Genomic DNA, 15,433 nt, shown 5'->3' on the forward strand with positions numbered 1-15,433 from the left:
ATTTTTTGTATTTTAGTCTTGATCTCCTGACCTCGTGATTCGTGTGCCTTGGCCTCCCAAAGTGCTGGGATTACAGGCATGAGCCACTGTGCCTGGCCTAATTGTTTTTTAAAAATTAAAAAAGGAGAAACACTGGAGAGGGGTGGTAACTAGGCAAAAATGTGTGTGTATATGTGTGTGTGTGTGTGTGTGTGTGTGTATATATGTTTTCTTTTTGTTTTGTAAATATGAGCCAGAAAACTATGAAGTCAAATTTAGTTAATGTGATAGGTCCTTGGAGAGAATCTGGCTCAGCCTTTTTCTGATGCAGGGCTTACTCCTAGCACTACTAATCTGAGTCTGTTAGCCTTTAAACTGGTTTAAGAGCAGCTCTGGTTAGAGAAAAGTAGCCTCACCACCAGCTGTAGCAAATTTAGCAGTGTCTCAAGAATCTGGCTAACTTCCTACCACCTATTACTGAAGCCACAGCACTAACCTAAATCCTTTTTTGTTGTTTTGGAGACAGGGCCTCCTGTTGCCCAGAATGGAGTGCAGTGGCATGATCACAGCTCACTGCAGCCTCAACCTCCTGGGCTCAAGAGTCTCCCACTTCAGCCTCTTGAGTAGCTGAGATTACAGGCATGCACCACCATGCCCAGCTGTTTTTTTTTTTTTTTTTTTTTGAGATGGGAGTACAGTGGTGCCATCTCGGCTCCCTGCAACCTCTGCCTCCTGGGATCAAGCAATTCTCCTGCCTCAGCCTCCCAAGTGCTGGGACTACAGGCACTCGCCACCACGCCTGGCTAATTTTTGTATTTTTAGTAGGGACAGGGTTTCGCCATGTTGGCCAGGCTAGTCTCAAACTCCTGACCTCAGGTGATCTGCCTGCCTCGGTCTCCCAAAGTGCTGAGATTACAGGCGTGAGCTATCGCGCCTGGCCAACTAATTTTGTTGTTTTTGTTTCTTTTGAGATGGAGTTTCGCTCTTGTTGTCCAGGCTGGAGTGCAATGGTGCAATCTTGGCTAACTGCAACCTCTGCCTCCTGGGTTCAAGTGATTCTCCTGCCTCAGCCTCCTGAGTAGCTGGGATTACAGGCGCCTGCCACCACGCCCAGCTAATTTTTGTATTTTAGTAGAGATGGGGTTTCACGATATTGGTCAGGCTGGTCTACCTGACCTCAGGTGATCTACCCACCTTGGCCTCCCAAAGTGCTGGGATTACAGGCGTGAGCCATCACGCCCAGCTGGCCAACTGATTTTTTATTTTTGGTAGAGACAGGGTTTCAACATGTTGCTCAGGCTGGTCTTGAACTTCAGTGGGCTTAAGTGACCTGCCCACCTCAACCTCCCAAAGTGCTAAGATTACAGGTGTAAGCCACCATGCCTGGGCTTAAATCCTTCCTTCTATATCTAAATTTCTGACATCTATTAGTTTGAACTTTGTAGCTTAAGAACTGGGAGAGAATAAAAAGACAAACATAAAAAGATATTTAAGTGTTAGAAACATTTATTTGTCAAAAAATTTTTTTAAAAAAGGGAGGAGTGGAGTAAAACAAGGGTAAATTTCAGCTAATGCTGTACCACGATCACAGGTCGGACATAAAAAACAAACAAAACAACAAAACCCCCAATGGTCCTAGCAATTTCAGAAGAGTAACTTAAGTGTTAAGAGTCCAGAGCTAACAGAAGAGTAAAAGGCTGCTTGCCACTACATGGTCATTTTAAAGGGAAAGGAGATGCTGCAGGTAGGCAGGGAGAAGGATTCAACTCCTAGGGAAAGCAAGATAAGAGGGGTTCCACTGCACAGGAAAAAGGGGATGCCAGCATAATCCTTACCTAGGGCTGCTCAGAGGCTGAGAATATAAGGAACAGAGTGAAAGGCTACAGAGACTAGTTTCAGGAGGAAAGAAAAGTCAACTTAGAAGAATTAAGAAAGAAAACATAGTTGGTCACAAACTCCTTTTGTTTACTGAAACATGAAGCAATGGAAACATCCCGGCAAAGGGGACCGCGCGGAGCAAGTTCTCATATATGACCGCAGCCCGAGGGTTCAGTCCGCAATTATCCTACCTGAAAGAGAGCACAACACAAGAGGCTTACACAATGCCTGGAGAGCAGCCTGGCTCCGCGTACAAGCGCCCTGGGTCCTGTCCTGTATTCCGGGGGGAAAAAAAAGAACAAAACAAAACCAAGTCAGACTGGATCTAACTCATATCCCATGTAATTACCTAGGAGTCTATCAATAGCTATATATAGGAATCCACTTATGGCTATATATATAGGACAAGATGCAATCTAGCTGAAGAATGTGTTGGTGATAAATACATCTTTCTTATCCATCTTTTAGGCAAGATAACCCCTGTGACAGAAGGCTACTGTTGCTGTAACAAAGGGCATACATACATTTTCAAGAACTGCAATTTAATTTTGGAGTCCAGGAAAAGCAGAAGATGCTGAGATGTCATATATGGCGAATTGCACTATTCTAAATGTGTTTTGTTTTAATCTTTCACAGTAAACAAGCTTTCAGAAATGATGGTCACAAGGGGTAGGATATCAAGGAGCAGCCAGTCATTCACCCAATTCCAACACACCTACATGTCACACTGTCACAGAGTGAGAGCCACAGTTCCAGTAGTTCCCCTAATTGACCAAATCTCCCTTGCCAAATCAAAAGAAATCATTCCTAGAATTCTCTAATCCTTCTATTGATGATGGGAACTCCAGACACCAATGGCTGGGGGAAAAAAAAAGTTAACTCACACCAAGTTCCTCTACTTATTACAGACAAAGGGCCAAATCTTGGTCTTGATCTGTGCCAATCGACTTCAAAAGTTGTGACGTTCTTGGATCAGTTCTGCTAGGGTGAGACCCGAATTTGGATCCCCAACAGTTCTGGAGTATTTCATCCTGGCAGCCTCATTAACATCAGGCTCCTGGGACTGCAACCAACTCAGGGTTATTCAGTCCATTTGAGGTTCACACCTGGAAGGTAAGTTTCTTTAAAAGTCATCGCTAAAAAGAGGTTAGTTGAACAACCACTGCTTGCAGTCAAAATTCATTTTAAAATGTCCTAGCAATACCTTTTGAAGACCACAATATATGAATTTAATATTTAACTTTGAAACATAAGAGACAGGTTATCTGATAGATTTATACCAGCTTACTTCGGAAGCATGTCCCACCCCATGCTAGATCCAGCTGCATTAAAAGTAAAAATTAATGGCAAACTATAAATTTTAAGATCATTTGCTTCACACATAAACACAGACTAGCTGCATGGTGGTCTCAAGAGATCTCAAGTCTTGCTGACATGCATATAGGGTACAACTTATTACAGGTTCATAACATTTGCTTCTCAATTCACATAAAAGAGCAAATTGCTGTGGCTTTGCTTTTTAATTTTTTTTTTTTTTTTTAAGAGAGAGAGGAGCCACTCTTGCCCAGGCTGGAGTGCAGTGGCTAACTGCAGTCTCTCACTCCTGGGCTCAAGGGATCCTCCAGCCTCAGCTTCCTGAATAGTTGGGACTACAGGCACAAGCCACTGTACACAGCTGCTTTGTTATCTTCTACATATATACCAAAGGGATAAGTTAGGAACACCAGAAACTCAGTAGTAACTCACTTTAACCTTGCTTCTGGGGCTCCAATTCAAGTGATGCTCAATTTCAAGGTACAAGGAAAACCATGAGAATATAAAGTCATAATGCCATTTCCACTCAGATGAAAAGATTTATCTATCTTTAGATACTCAAAATTATTCTTGGCATTTTAGCACTTTTGGTACACATTTCCTGATGTAGGAAATAGTAAAATTTCAGAGCCTATGGCATTGGCTTTCACCACCTATGCAATTTTCTACACATCTGAAAATTACCAGTTTATCTAACTCCTTAAATGTTCCTCTCTTCAACAACAAAAAACACAAACAAAAATTGCTGGAAGAAACAGGAAGCATCCAGGTCCAAATGACAGCATAACAGACTATGAAGAAACAGGGCTTAAGTGCCCATCTAGAACAAGATGGTCTAGATTACAATAAGGACCCCATGGGACAGAACATCAAAACATTCAACTTTCAAGTAAATGTCTTGGAAGTAAACATTTAAAATTTATAGGACTTCCTCTGGCATGTAGGTATGATATTAGAAGAGTTTCCTTTGACAAAGGACAATGACCCAAGAAGTAGGTTTTTTTTTTTTTTTAAATAAAGGAGAGACAGTCTCACTCTGTTGCCCAGGCTGGAATACAGTGGTGTGATCATAGCTCACTGCAGCCTCTTTTAACTCCTGGGCTCAAGCAATCCTTCCAACCTCAGCATTCTGAGTAGCTGGGATCACAGGTGCTCCCCATCACACCCTGCTAATTTAATTTTCTTTGTAGAGACAGGGTCTTGCTATGTTGCCTAGGCTGGTCTTGAACTCCTGGGCTCAAGTGATCCTCCCGCCTCAGCCTCCCAGTGTTAGGATTACAGGAGTGAGCCACTGCCTCTGCCTTCAGGTAGCAATTTTATTAGCAAACTATAAGCCTAAAGTAATAGTTAAAATTCTCACTGTGATATTCATTACTAACCCCTGAACCTGTACCCTTCAGCTTACCACTACAGTACTTCTGTAGTAGAGCGAGTATGGGTTTTGGTATCAGACAGGTCCAAATTTGAATTCTGGTTCTACCTTTCATTTATCAAATGACTTTGGGCAAAGTACTTAACCTCTCTGAGCTTTAGTTCCCTTCTCTGTAAAAGAATAAAATATTTCAGTCTTATCGTGTAGATGATATACAGAGGGCACATAACAAATGTTAGATCTCTCAAATGTTTTTCTGTAACCCAAATATGCTTACAACTGATTAAAGAATGTTCTCACTAACAAACTGAATTTGTTGTTCTCTCAGAAGGAACAAGTTGGTTGGAGTCATACACTAACACCTTGACAGGCCAAATGGAACTTGTGGCCTAAGCTAGAGAAATATTGAAGACTAACATGTAATTTGCACCTTTTGGATACTGTCCGGAGAGCACAGGTGGCTCTAGCCACTTTTATGAAGCATGGGTCTCTTTCAAGGGAACTAAATGGAATCTTTTAACCATTCCCACCCATCTCTCACCTCCAGTTTTTAAAAGGCTGAGTACCGGGCTCGGTCCACATACTGCTCCCGTTCATACCGGGCCATGTCATACAGAGAATTCCGTGTAGCTGCGGAAGCCTGAGATAATTCACTCTCTGGCCCATAACCGTAGCCCTCTCCAACTGTGGGGAGCATGGCTGCAGCACGACGCAGTGGGCTCCTGTCCCTTCCATAGTAGGAGGAAGTGGTGGCTGCAGCAGCAGCCATAGCAGCTGAAGTGGCAGCAGCGCCAGAGTTTGGCAATAGGTGTCTGTCATAGGGATCAACAGAAGTAGAGTTGAGGTGGCTGGTCACAGTTGTGCTTTGGACTTGAGGCAGATGGGACATGGTCTGCTCTGCGTAGTTGTATGCAGAAGCCGCTGCCGCCGCTGCTACTGCCTCATAAGAGCGGACCCGGTATCGCTTATAGTAGTCGAGTGCTCCATATGCATCGTTGTAATACATGGATTCCCCGTAGCCCATGGTGTAAGGTGTTCGAACTGCTCCATATTGTTCATTATACTGCTCAGTAAAGTCTGCCACACGACCCGTACGATCTACTGGGCACTCTTTGGACCAGTGCCCTTCTTTCCCACACCGATAGCAGCCACTCTGGTCTCCCATACCAGGGGCAGTCCGAAGCCGGCTTGTGGACAACTGCACATGCATTCTTTTGCCTTGAGGGAACAGATGTAAGAAGATTTATTTTAACTCACTTGACATTCTTTTTCCTCTCCTCCCCAAATGAAAGTAAATTAGTTGTCATAAGACACATAGACGCACACACCTGTGACCCTATTTCAGCAACCTCCTTTAAAAAGTAGTTGAAGTTTTTTTGTTTTTTTTTTTGAGACGGAGTTTCCCTCCTGTTGCCCAGGCTGGAGTGCAGTGGCACAATCTCAGCTCACCGCAACCTCCACCTCCCGGATTCAAGCAATTCTCCTGCCTCAGCCTCCCGAGTAGCTGGGATTACAGGCATGCGCTGCCATGCCTGGCTAATTTTGTATTTTTAGTAGAGACAGGGTTTCTCCATGTTGGTCAGGCTGGTCTCAAACTCCCGACCTTGGGTGATCCGCCCGCCTTGGCCTCCCAAAGTGTTGGGATTACAGGCATGCGCCATTGCGCCCTGCCAGTAGTTGAAGTTTAATACAGATGAGAGCTAGAAAATTTGATTCCTCAGAGACCAGTCAATACTTTCTACTTAGGCCAGGAATAGACCAGACTCCCTCCTGTTTCTGTCTCCACAACTTTCCTTTTTCCCCTTATACACAACAATTGGAAAAGTTTCCACTTCTCACTAAGATTGTTATTACTTGTAATGATTCAAATTCTGCCAATACTTCCAAAATCAACCAACAAAACCTCAGTTAAGCCAGATTTGGACGGCATCTTGCCCATCTCTCACTGACTGACTAAGGATTAAGGCCTGAGTATTTACTACTGCTTAAAAACCACATCAATAGTCCGTCCATCTTGTTTCCTCTAGCTATTTTTGCAGATGTCACCAGAAGGCTCCAATGATGGGTACACAAACCATACCTGGCTTGTCATCTGCTTCATCTCTAGTATCTCTGGGAGTTATAAGACCTTTCAGATTTCAGTTTAGCCCACCACCCACCCCCGACCCCCCCAAGGCTACTGTGGAAAGCTACCTGACCAAGGTCTCTCAACAAGAAGAATTAGATCTTGAAACAGTACTGCTTTCTTAGGGACAGTGTCTTGACATGTAATGAAATGACTGTCATTTCATCCTGCCATGTAACTTACAATTTTTATAGGGATTAACTACTAGTTAGAAAAATGCAGCATTTGCCTAGAGACCTCTAGGAACCCACACAAATGGGCCACATCCATTTTGGCTTCCAGGAAATGACCAGCACTGAGGAACAGCTAAGAGAAGAAAACAATCTTTGCCCAGGGATTGTGAACCACCAAACCCATGGACCCTTACTGATGAAAGCATCTGAAGTCTTTAAAAGCAGTTAAAGAAAAGGAGTATTCCTGGCATTATTTAGTCCCAGGTTGCACAAGACTCTCCTGGAGATCAAGTCAGTGCTTTCCAAATTGTAGCCAAAAGAAAATGCACGGGAGGCTGAGGCAGAAGAATCGCTTGAACCTGGGAGGTGGAGGTTGCAGTGAGTGGAGATCATACCACTGCAATCCTGCCTGGGCAACAGTGTGAGACTCCATCTCAAAAAAAAAAAAAAAATGGAAAACGCAGTCAGTACAGATAAAAAGAACAGGGCTTCTCATTACTCTTAAGGACTGCTGAGAACAAATCCCCCCTCTGCAATCAGCAAGTTGCTCTCTCTTTAACAGACCTTCTTCTGGATGCAGCTATGCGAGAGGAAGCCTTGTGCTCCACCATCCTGTTGGAAATAGCCCTATTGAGGACGGCAGCCAGAACAGTGCCATGCACTGACCCTGAGAGGGGAGCGGGTTAGTGTGGCAATATCACTTTAGTCAAATTCCTTCTGCCCAATGTCAAAGAGTCCTATCACTCCAGTTTCTAGCAGAAACAAAAGTGCTCAGGCTTTATACCTCCAACTGCTAGGAGACAGGCCGCATCCACTATCACCAATAGAGTCAGCAGATACCCAAAATGGCACTAAATCTCTAAAAGCATTTTGCCATCCCATTGTTTTCAGAGATTTAAATGCTCCTAATTGTTAGATGTTAGGGGCCACAATGCTAACTGTGCTTTGAACAGAAACACAGATTTCTGCCACAATTTATATCTCAAATGCATAGTTCCCTATAATTTAGACTAAAAGATTATAAATGACTTGGCTTTCAAATATACATGGTGACATTAAGCTATGTGACAGACACAAAGTATACTCCAATTGTGAAGTCAGAGTGACCATGACAGTCTAAAAAGGAGCCAATCCAGAGACCTAAAAGTAACATTTTTAACAAAAAAATTCAATTAAATTTGCACTTTACTTTTATAGATTCTGGGTCCATTTTTTGGAGAAACAAAACCCAGCAATTTTACCTTGATGTTTTTTAACTAAATCCAATCTTCATTCCTGCTTTTATTTAGAGGGTGGGAAATCAAGTTTATCTGTGGTAAAATCTACCTCTGTGTAGTTGTGAAAAGGATGCAGGTATCAATTTTTTTGTTGCGTTTGTTTGATTTTTGAGACGTAGTTTTGCTCTGTCGCCCAGGCTGGAGTGCAGTGGCGAAATCTCGGCTCACTGCAACCTCCACCTCGCGGGTTCAAGCAATTCCCTGCCTCAGCCTCCCGAGTAGCTGAGATTACAGGCACCTGCCACCATTGGTGTGGTTTTAAAGCAATTTTTGTATTTTTAGCAGAGATGGGGTTTCACCATCTTGGCCAGGCTAGTCTTGAACTCCTGACTTCGTGATCCACCCGCCTCAGCCCCCTCAAAGTGCTGGGATTACAGGCGTGACCACTGCACCCGGCCCAATTTTTTAACCTAGAACTAAAAAAATCTATAATAGGGGTGACGAGTTTAAAAAAATTTTTTCAAACAGTTTCTCCAAGCTGGGTGTGGTAGCTCATATCTGTAATCCCAGCACTTTGGGAGGCTGAGGTGAGCCAATCACCTGAGGCCAGAAGTTCGAGACCAGCCTGGCCAACATGGTGAAACCCCCTCTCTACTAAAAAAATACAAAACATTAGCTGGGCATGGTGGCACATGCCTGCAGTCCCAGCTACTTGGGAAGCTGAGGCACAAGAATCACTTGAACCCGGGAGGCGGAGGCTGCAGTGAGCTGAGATTGTGCCACTGCACTACAGCCTAGGCAATAGAGCAAGACTGTCTAAAAAAAAAAAAAAAAAAAAAAACCCACAAAAAAACCAAAACAACCAGTCCTTCCAACGGTTATAATTAGCCTTTTAATTTATTTTTATTAATTTTTTTGGGGGGGGGGGACAGATTCTTGCTCTGTCGCCCAGGCTGGAGTGCAGTGGCGCAGTCTCGGCTCACTGCAACTTCTGCCTCCTGGGCTCAAGCAATTCTCCTGCCTCAGCCTCCCGAGTAGCTGGGACTGCAGGCGCACGCTACCACACCTGGCTAATTTCTTCTATTTTTAGTGGAGACGAGGTTTCACCATGTTGGCCAGGCTGGTCTCGAACTCCTGACCTCAGGTGATCCGCCTGTCTCGGCCTCCCAAAGGGCTGGGATTACAGGCATGAGCCACCACATCCAGCCTAGCCTTTAAATTTAAATACCCTAAAGTTTTTATAGTAATTGAAAAAGACTATGCCTCTCTATTATTATACCTTAAGGAACCAGGGCAAAGAAAAATGAAAGATTAATTCTTCTACTCTACTACACTTGGACAAAGTAGGCCAAAAGCTTAAAATTTCCTGGGACTTCCAAAAGTTACTGAAGTTTGTTGCCAACATTTTCCAGAAAACCAGCCCTATAAGTGTTTTATTTTGAAAGCTGTAACAGAAAAGAGCATTAAAATGCTGAGAAGTGGGAAACTTGGGGTCTTAATTTCTGAGCGCCTATCAAGTGCCATGATCCAGAAAAGACTGGGGATGTAGCTAATACAGAGTAGTATTCTGACTTAATGCTTGTTTACATATAGGGAAAAAAAAAAAAGACACCTGAACTCTCACACATTCTTCCCAATTAAGCTGCCTGATTGTTATTTGGGAATAGCTTCTTTAGGTCTTCCAATACAAACTATGTGTCTAAGGAAATAAGTTGAGTTCACTGCTGGCTGTAAAAAGGAAACAGATCCTGAAAGAGTAAAGTAAACTCAGATTCCGCTACTTCCTTTTAGAAGTCATACAATGCAAAAAGCCTCAATGGCAGCCATTAACATATAGAAATAAAGGTTCAAAAGATGTTCAAGTGGCACTTTTTTGTTGGTTCATTTTTGAGACTAAGTCTTGCTCTGCTGCCCAGGCTAGAGTGCGGTGGCACGGTCTTGACTCACTGCAACCTCCGCCTCTGGGTTCAAGTGATTCTCCTGCCTCAGCCTCCTGAGTAGCCGGGATTACAGGTGTGTGCCACCATACCTAGCTAATTTTTGTATTTTTAGTAGAGACAGGGTTTCACCATGTTGACCAGGCTAGTCTTGAACTCCTGACCTTAGGTGATCCACCCCCGCCTCGGCCTTCCAGAGTGCTGGGATTACAGGAGTGAGCCACCTCACCCGGGCTCAAGTGGCCCTTTTAAGAGGCCACCTTCATTAGTAGACAACTGAAAATAACTTAAATTGAAACGTGTCAAACTGGTATCCAGACTGTATTTTCTGTAAAACTACAACTTACTATCCAGTGCTAAGCTTGCTCTTGTCATCTGGGAGAAAAAAAACCAGAGCTAGTTATAAAAACGTCTCTATAACTAGGAGGAGAGTGCTATCTCCAGAGGAGCCAAGTTAAGAACATGAAAACCAAATACAGGATTTTTCTTTTCCAATTCATTTTAGTGTTTGCACTTTCTAAGGAAGTGATGTTTTTAAAAATCTTATGGATCCACTGCATTATTCAGATACATCCTAAAGTAATTATACCTGCCTTATTAAAACACATATTCATCCTAAGCCAACTCCCCCCAATTAACTGATTTTTTTTTCTTTTTTTTTTTTTTTTATTAACTTCAGGTAGCTTTTCTTTTTCTTTTCTTTCTTTTTTTTTTTTGAGATGGAGTCTTGCTCTGTCCCCCAGGCTGGAGTACAGTGGCATGATCTCGGCTCACTGCAAGCTCTGCCTCCTGGGTTCACGCTATTCTCCTGCCTCAGCTTCCCGAGTAGTGGGGACTACAAGGCGCCTGCCACCATGGCCGGCTAATTTTTTTTTTGTATTTTTAGTAGAGACGGGGTTTCACCATGTTGAGCAGGATGGACTCAATCTCTGACCTCGTGATCCCCCCGCCTTGGCCTCCCAAAGTGCTGGGATTACAGGCGTGAGCCACAGCACCCGGCCTGTCCTTTTCCTTTTATTCAGTTGTATTAAATATATATATGGTTTTTTTTTTTTCTTTTTTGAGAAGGAGTCTCGCTGTTGCCCAGACTGGAATACAGTGGCACAATCTCGGTTTACTGCAACCTCTACCTCCCAGGTTCAAGCGATTCTCCTGTCTCAGCCTCCCGAGTAGCTGGGATTACAGGCACACACTACCACGCCTTGCTAGTTTTCTTGTATTTTTAGTAGAGATGGGATTTCACCATGTTGGCCAGGCTGGTCTCGAACTCCTGACCTCAGGTGATCCACCCGCCTTGGCCTCCCAAAGTGGTGGGATTACAGGTGTGAGGCACCGCACCCTGCCTGTATTAAATATATTTAAAAGGTAAGGGCATTCTGTATGACATTACTAGAATACCTCTGCAGTTTGTACCCAACTTTACATTCTTTTACATTTTGCTCATTACCTGTCAGGAGAAAACCCTCCTTCCCCAGTCTCCACTGTCCATCATGATGATTTCCCCCATCAAATGAAAATAATTAAGATACTTTTAAAAGCTGAAAATGCAACAACATTCCAAAATAAGAAAAAGAAAAACAAATGTAAGAAAAGCAAACCAATAAGGAAAGCTTCGCTATCACACTTTCAATAATTTTCTAACCAGAATAGAAACACTCATGGTTGCAAAGAGCAATCACCTGTCATCATAAAGAGCTTTTACTATCAAAACACTTTCACATCGATTTCTTCATTCTAGCCCCACTACAATCCTGTGAGGGAGGTACAGTAGGGATCATTAACTCCATAAGTGGGGACAATCTTAGTGAGGAAAATGAAGCAGAGAAATGTTAAAACACTTGTCCAAGGTCACACACTAGTTAATGGTAGGAAGTATCTGCAACCTTTGCCCTATGCTTTAAAGAGCAGCTAAAGGCCAAGGCATCACTGGCTGAAGCTGGAGATACTTGATGGTGCTCCTCTACCCATCTCCACTATGCAAACTTTCTTACCCTTCTCTGGTCAACTTTTCCTCTTCTCCCATTATTTTTCTCATTTTGTTTTTTAGTTTTAATAGAAGACCCAAAAGTACTTCTTAACAACCCCTTTAATGACACTCAGGGCAAAAAAGGTGTTGACTTAGGAACCACAAAAGTGGCTATGAACATGAGGTCCAAGACGATACTGTTAACAAAACACTTGTAGAACAGTGCTATCCAAAAGAATGTTCTATGATGATGGAAATGTTCTGTGTCTCTATTAATACGGTAGCCACAGGCCTCATGACTACTGAGTGCTTGAAACGTGTCTGGTATACACTTGAAAAACTGAATTTTAAATTTTATCTAATCTGTTAATTTCAATTTACTAAGCCGCATGTGGTTACCATATTAGCACAGTTCTAGAGTCTTCTGACAACCTCTTGTGGTATTAATGACAACATATGTACCTTTATTATCGGTATAAATAGTATGATATGCTCTACGATGCTTGTACTGAAATTTCTTCAGAAGCGGGACCATCATTCCCATTGAGTCTGATATATTTAGAAATTTCCTTTTCTGAGGGTGAAATGAACAGGTGGAGCAGAACACTCCATGGCATGTTTTTTTGACTCTGCTTGAAGAGACTGCACAACTTTGATCAACAAAAAGATACTCCCGCAGATCCAGACTTGCCACCCAGATTTATAATATAGGGCTTCCTCTAGATGTCTTTTTTCTTCTTTCCCACCAGTATCCACCCAAAGCAGTAAAGAATATAAATCTTAAGCACTTAAACCCTCAAATATAAGGCTTCCTGATCATCACCAAAGAAGCAGGTAAGCCACGGACCTTTATCCTCCCTTCTCTCATGAGGTACTCGTTTCCCCAAGCAGATTACACTTCCAACAGCACTCGAATCAATGCAAGAATCCCGCAGGGTAAAGTAACCCACAGTTTGTGATTCTATGCAGTCGGTGAGCAACATCTTAGCAAACCTGAAAAGGGGAAGTGTTTGCTTCCCCAGGGGTAAATTATGCTTAAGAGCGGTAAACATAATCTATTATTTCCAGCTAAAACAGAATGGAAGAGACCACCCAGCAAGTTCTATAGTCTTGTGTTCTTGCCTGTTTTGAGCTAGACCCCACTCGGCGCTACTACCCAGGCCCAGAGCAGTTCACCTTGAAACTCTGTGTTGTCAAGGCCCCTGATGGCCTCCACTGCATCCTCTGCCCGCTCCATGTGTACGAAGGCATAATCTTTCACGATGTCACATTCGATGACCGGACCATACTCCTCAAACTTGGCTCGAAGCTCTTGGTTGGTACAAGTGGGGCTGATGTTACCCACGTGTAACTTGGTTGAAGCTTTGCTCTTATTCTTGCTGGCTTCCACGTTGATGTTCACCCCATGAAGCTTGTAATGGTGCAGGTTGCGTATGGCATCCTCAGCTGCCGTCTTGTCTTCTATGTGCACAAAGCCGTAATTCTTAATGATGTCACATTCCAGCACCTTCCCATACTGCTCGAAGAGTGAGCGAATCTCCTGCTCTGTAGCCTCCCGGGGAAGGTTTCCGATGAACAGCTTCACCATCCTGACAAGAGCCTGGGAGAGAAACACAAGACTTCAAAAGTCAGGGGTGTGGTGGGAAATTTCGGTGCACTGCAGCATTTTCGTCTAATCCTCCAAAGTTCTTGCACCTTCAAGACCCTCGTACAGACATTCATTATTCTTCCTCAATAGAAGAAGGGCGGTTTGTTCTCGAGAAGTGCGAGCTATGCGTGACATGCAAACAGGAGGTCGAGGGTCAGCATGCATAGCCCAGTCTATCATCTCCGTGAAGTGGAGCGCAATGAAATACCAGAATTAGCTGCTTCATGTCTTAAAATGAGGGAAGAGAAAAGCCCAAGCAAAGGCAAGGGGCATCAATCGCAGTGCGCCTGGTAACAAGGTTTTGGAGGGAAATCTGTGTACCTCTCCTGCGCGCACTAGCGCCTTTCAAGATACTCTAAAAAGAAAAAAGTCCCCTTTCCCCCAAACCGGGGACCAACCACCTCGCCCCCAGCGGCCCACCCTCCAGCTTCTTCGCCCCAACAAAGACTCGACCCGACCCCTGCCCCGCCTCCTTCCGGAGACCCGGCCCCGCCTCCTCCCGTTGTCTTCCCAGACCTCCCGCTGCAAAATGAGAAACCCAAATCCGGGCCGTGCAGTCTGCCGGAGGCCCGGCCCGACCCGCCCCCGAGCTCCCCACATCACACACACACGACCCCCTCGCACCTCCGGGTGGCGGCAGCGACGGCGGCTCCCACGTCAGAGAGAACCTTACAAAATGGCGACGGCCGCTCGAGCCTGGACGCGACCGGGCCCTTTCTCGCGCGCCAGCTCACGCACGCGCGAGTGCGCGCTGCTTCCCTCCCCTTCCCCTCGCGGGAGCCGAGTGACCAATCCCGAGGCTGCATACAAATGACCACGCAGCACGGGGGCGGGGCCTGTTGGTGGTGGCGCGGCGCCGCGGAGGTCAGCCCACCCCCAGCCCCAGCCAGCCAGTCACCACCCTGGAAAGGGTCGCCACTGCTGCGTCAGAGGGGCTCTGAACGCAACCACTGCCTAGAAAAGCGGAGGCCTTGGGGAGTCGCTCACCACAATGGGTCCTGCTCTTGGGCCCTTTGAGGGGGGCGGGGAGCTAATGACAGAGGAATCTCCCCGAGGGCCCTAAAAAGGGGCTTTTGTAGCGGGCTGGCCGGCTTCTGTGGCAGCTTGGGGCAACATTTCAAAAATACAGGTGCGCCACATTTTAAGCAAAACTAGTCATTGTTTTGTAGCGCTTTAAACATTATTTTAAAGTTTGTCATTGCAGAGGTGTTATTTATTGCTACGGAAACTGAGAACCAAGGGGCAGAAAGATAACCTGGCAGAACTGGGACAGGCCTAAGAGGCATTGCTACCCAGGCTACGCTTAGTCATGTTTTGTTTGCTCGTGAGTATCCGTGGTCTGATTCTCTCTCACTCATTGTGTGTCCATCACAGTCCTGGTCTGTGGTGAGCACGCCAGAGGAATACTTGGTGGAGAGGCCCAGCGAGGTCCCTAGTTCTGGGTGGGACAGGGTCTCCTCGTACACACCAAGCTGGAAGTCTAGGCAACTGAGTTTCCCGACTGTCTAGCATTCAAAATTCAGCTGTGGTCCAAGGGCACCTCCTGGCGGTAAAAACAAGCTTAGGCGTGCCAGGTGCGGCGGCTCACGCCTATAATCCCAGCACTTTGGGAGGCCAAGGCGGGCGGATCACGAGTTCAGGAGTTCGACACCAGCTTGGCCAACATGGTGAAACCCCGTGTCTACTAAAAATACAAAAAATAGCCCGGCGTGGTGGCGGGCGCCTGTAATCCCAACTACTCGGGAGGCTGAGGCAGGAGAATCGTTGGAACCCGGGAGGCGGAGGTTGCAGTGAGCCGAGATGGCGTCACTGCACTCCAGCCTG

At 45.0% G+C, this 15,433-nt stretch overlaps 2 protein-coding genes across 8 annotated transcripts in view, besides 2 other annotated features; one reads left to right on the forward strand and one right to left on the reverse strand.

Annotated features, from left to right (window-relative positions):
* RBM4 (RNA binding motif protein 4) overlaps positions 1-4,850 on the forward strand; it is a 29,678-nt gene extending 24,828 nt beyond the window's left edge. Inside the window, exon 3 of the mRNA NM_001198844.2 lies at positions 2,326-4,850. Coding sequence (NP_001185773.1) covers positions 2,326-2,435 — 110 coding nt within the window. The 3' untranslated portion in view covers positions 2,436-4,850. The remainder of the gene's footprint in view (positions 1-2,325) is intronic.
* On the reverse strand, positions 1,468-14,357 carry RBM4B (RNA binding motif protein 4B). 7 transcript variants are annotated; one of them, XR_247214.4, is made up of 5 exons: positions 14,234-14,357; positions 13,138-13,561; positions 5,085-5,761; positions 2,742-2,963; positions 1,468-2,048 (listed from the first exon to the last, which is right to left on the reverse strand). XR_247214.4 is itself a non-coding variant. In NM_031492.4 (4 exons), exons 2-3 carry the CDS (start codon positions 13,547-13,549, stop codon positions 5,094-5,096), a joined length of 1,080 nt encoding a protein of 359 aa, NP_113680.1. In that variant the 5' UTR covers positions 13,550-13,561; positions 14,234-14,357; the 3' UTR covers positions 1,468-2,048; positions 5,085-5,093. The 7 variants fall into 7 exon arrangements, 4 of the variants coding, with proteins under 4 accessions (NP_113680.1, XP_011543599.1, XP_016873891.1 ...); XR_247213.4 differs by having other exon boundaries at positions 1,468-2,130; XR_007062509.1 differs by having other exon boundaries at positions 1,468-2,130; positions 2,742-5,761.
* Positions 13,970-14,079: a silencer, noted in NCBI's record as "silent region_3599". NCBI's record gives its function as "represses an Ori minimal core promoter by ATAC-STARR-seq in GM12878 lymphoblastoid cells {active_cell/tissue: GM12878}" and the evidence as "EXISTENCE:reporter gene assay evidence [ECO:0000049][PMID:35858748]".
* Positions 14,280-14,559: a silencer, noted in NCBI's record as "silent region_3600". NCBI's record gives its function as "represses an Ori minimal core promoter by ATAC-STARR-seq in GM12878 lymphoblastoid cells {active_cell/tissue: GM12878}" and the evidence as "EXISTENCE:reporter gene assay evidence [ECO:0000049][PMID:35858748]".

The sequence above is a fragment of the Homo sapiens genome, chromosome 11, assembly GCF_000001405.40.
Source record: "Homo sapiens chromosome 11, GRCh38.p14 Primary Assembly".
NCBI lineage: Eukaryota > Metazoa > Chordata > Mammalia > Primates > Hominidae > Homo > Homo sapiens.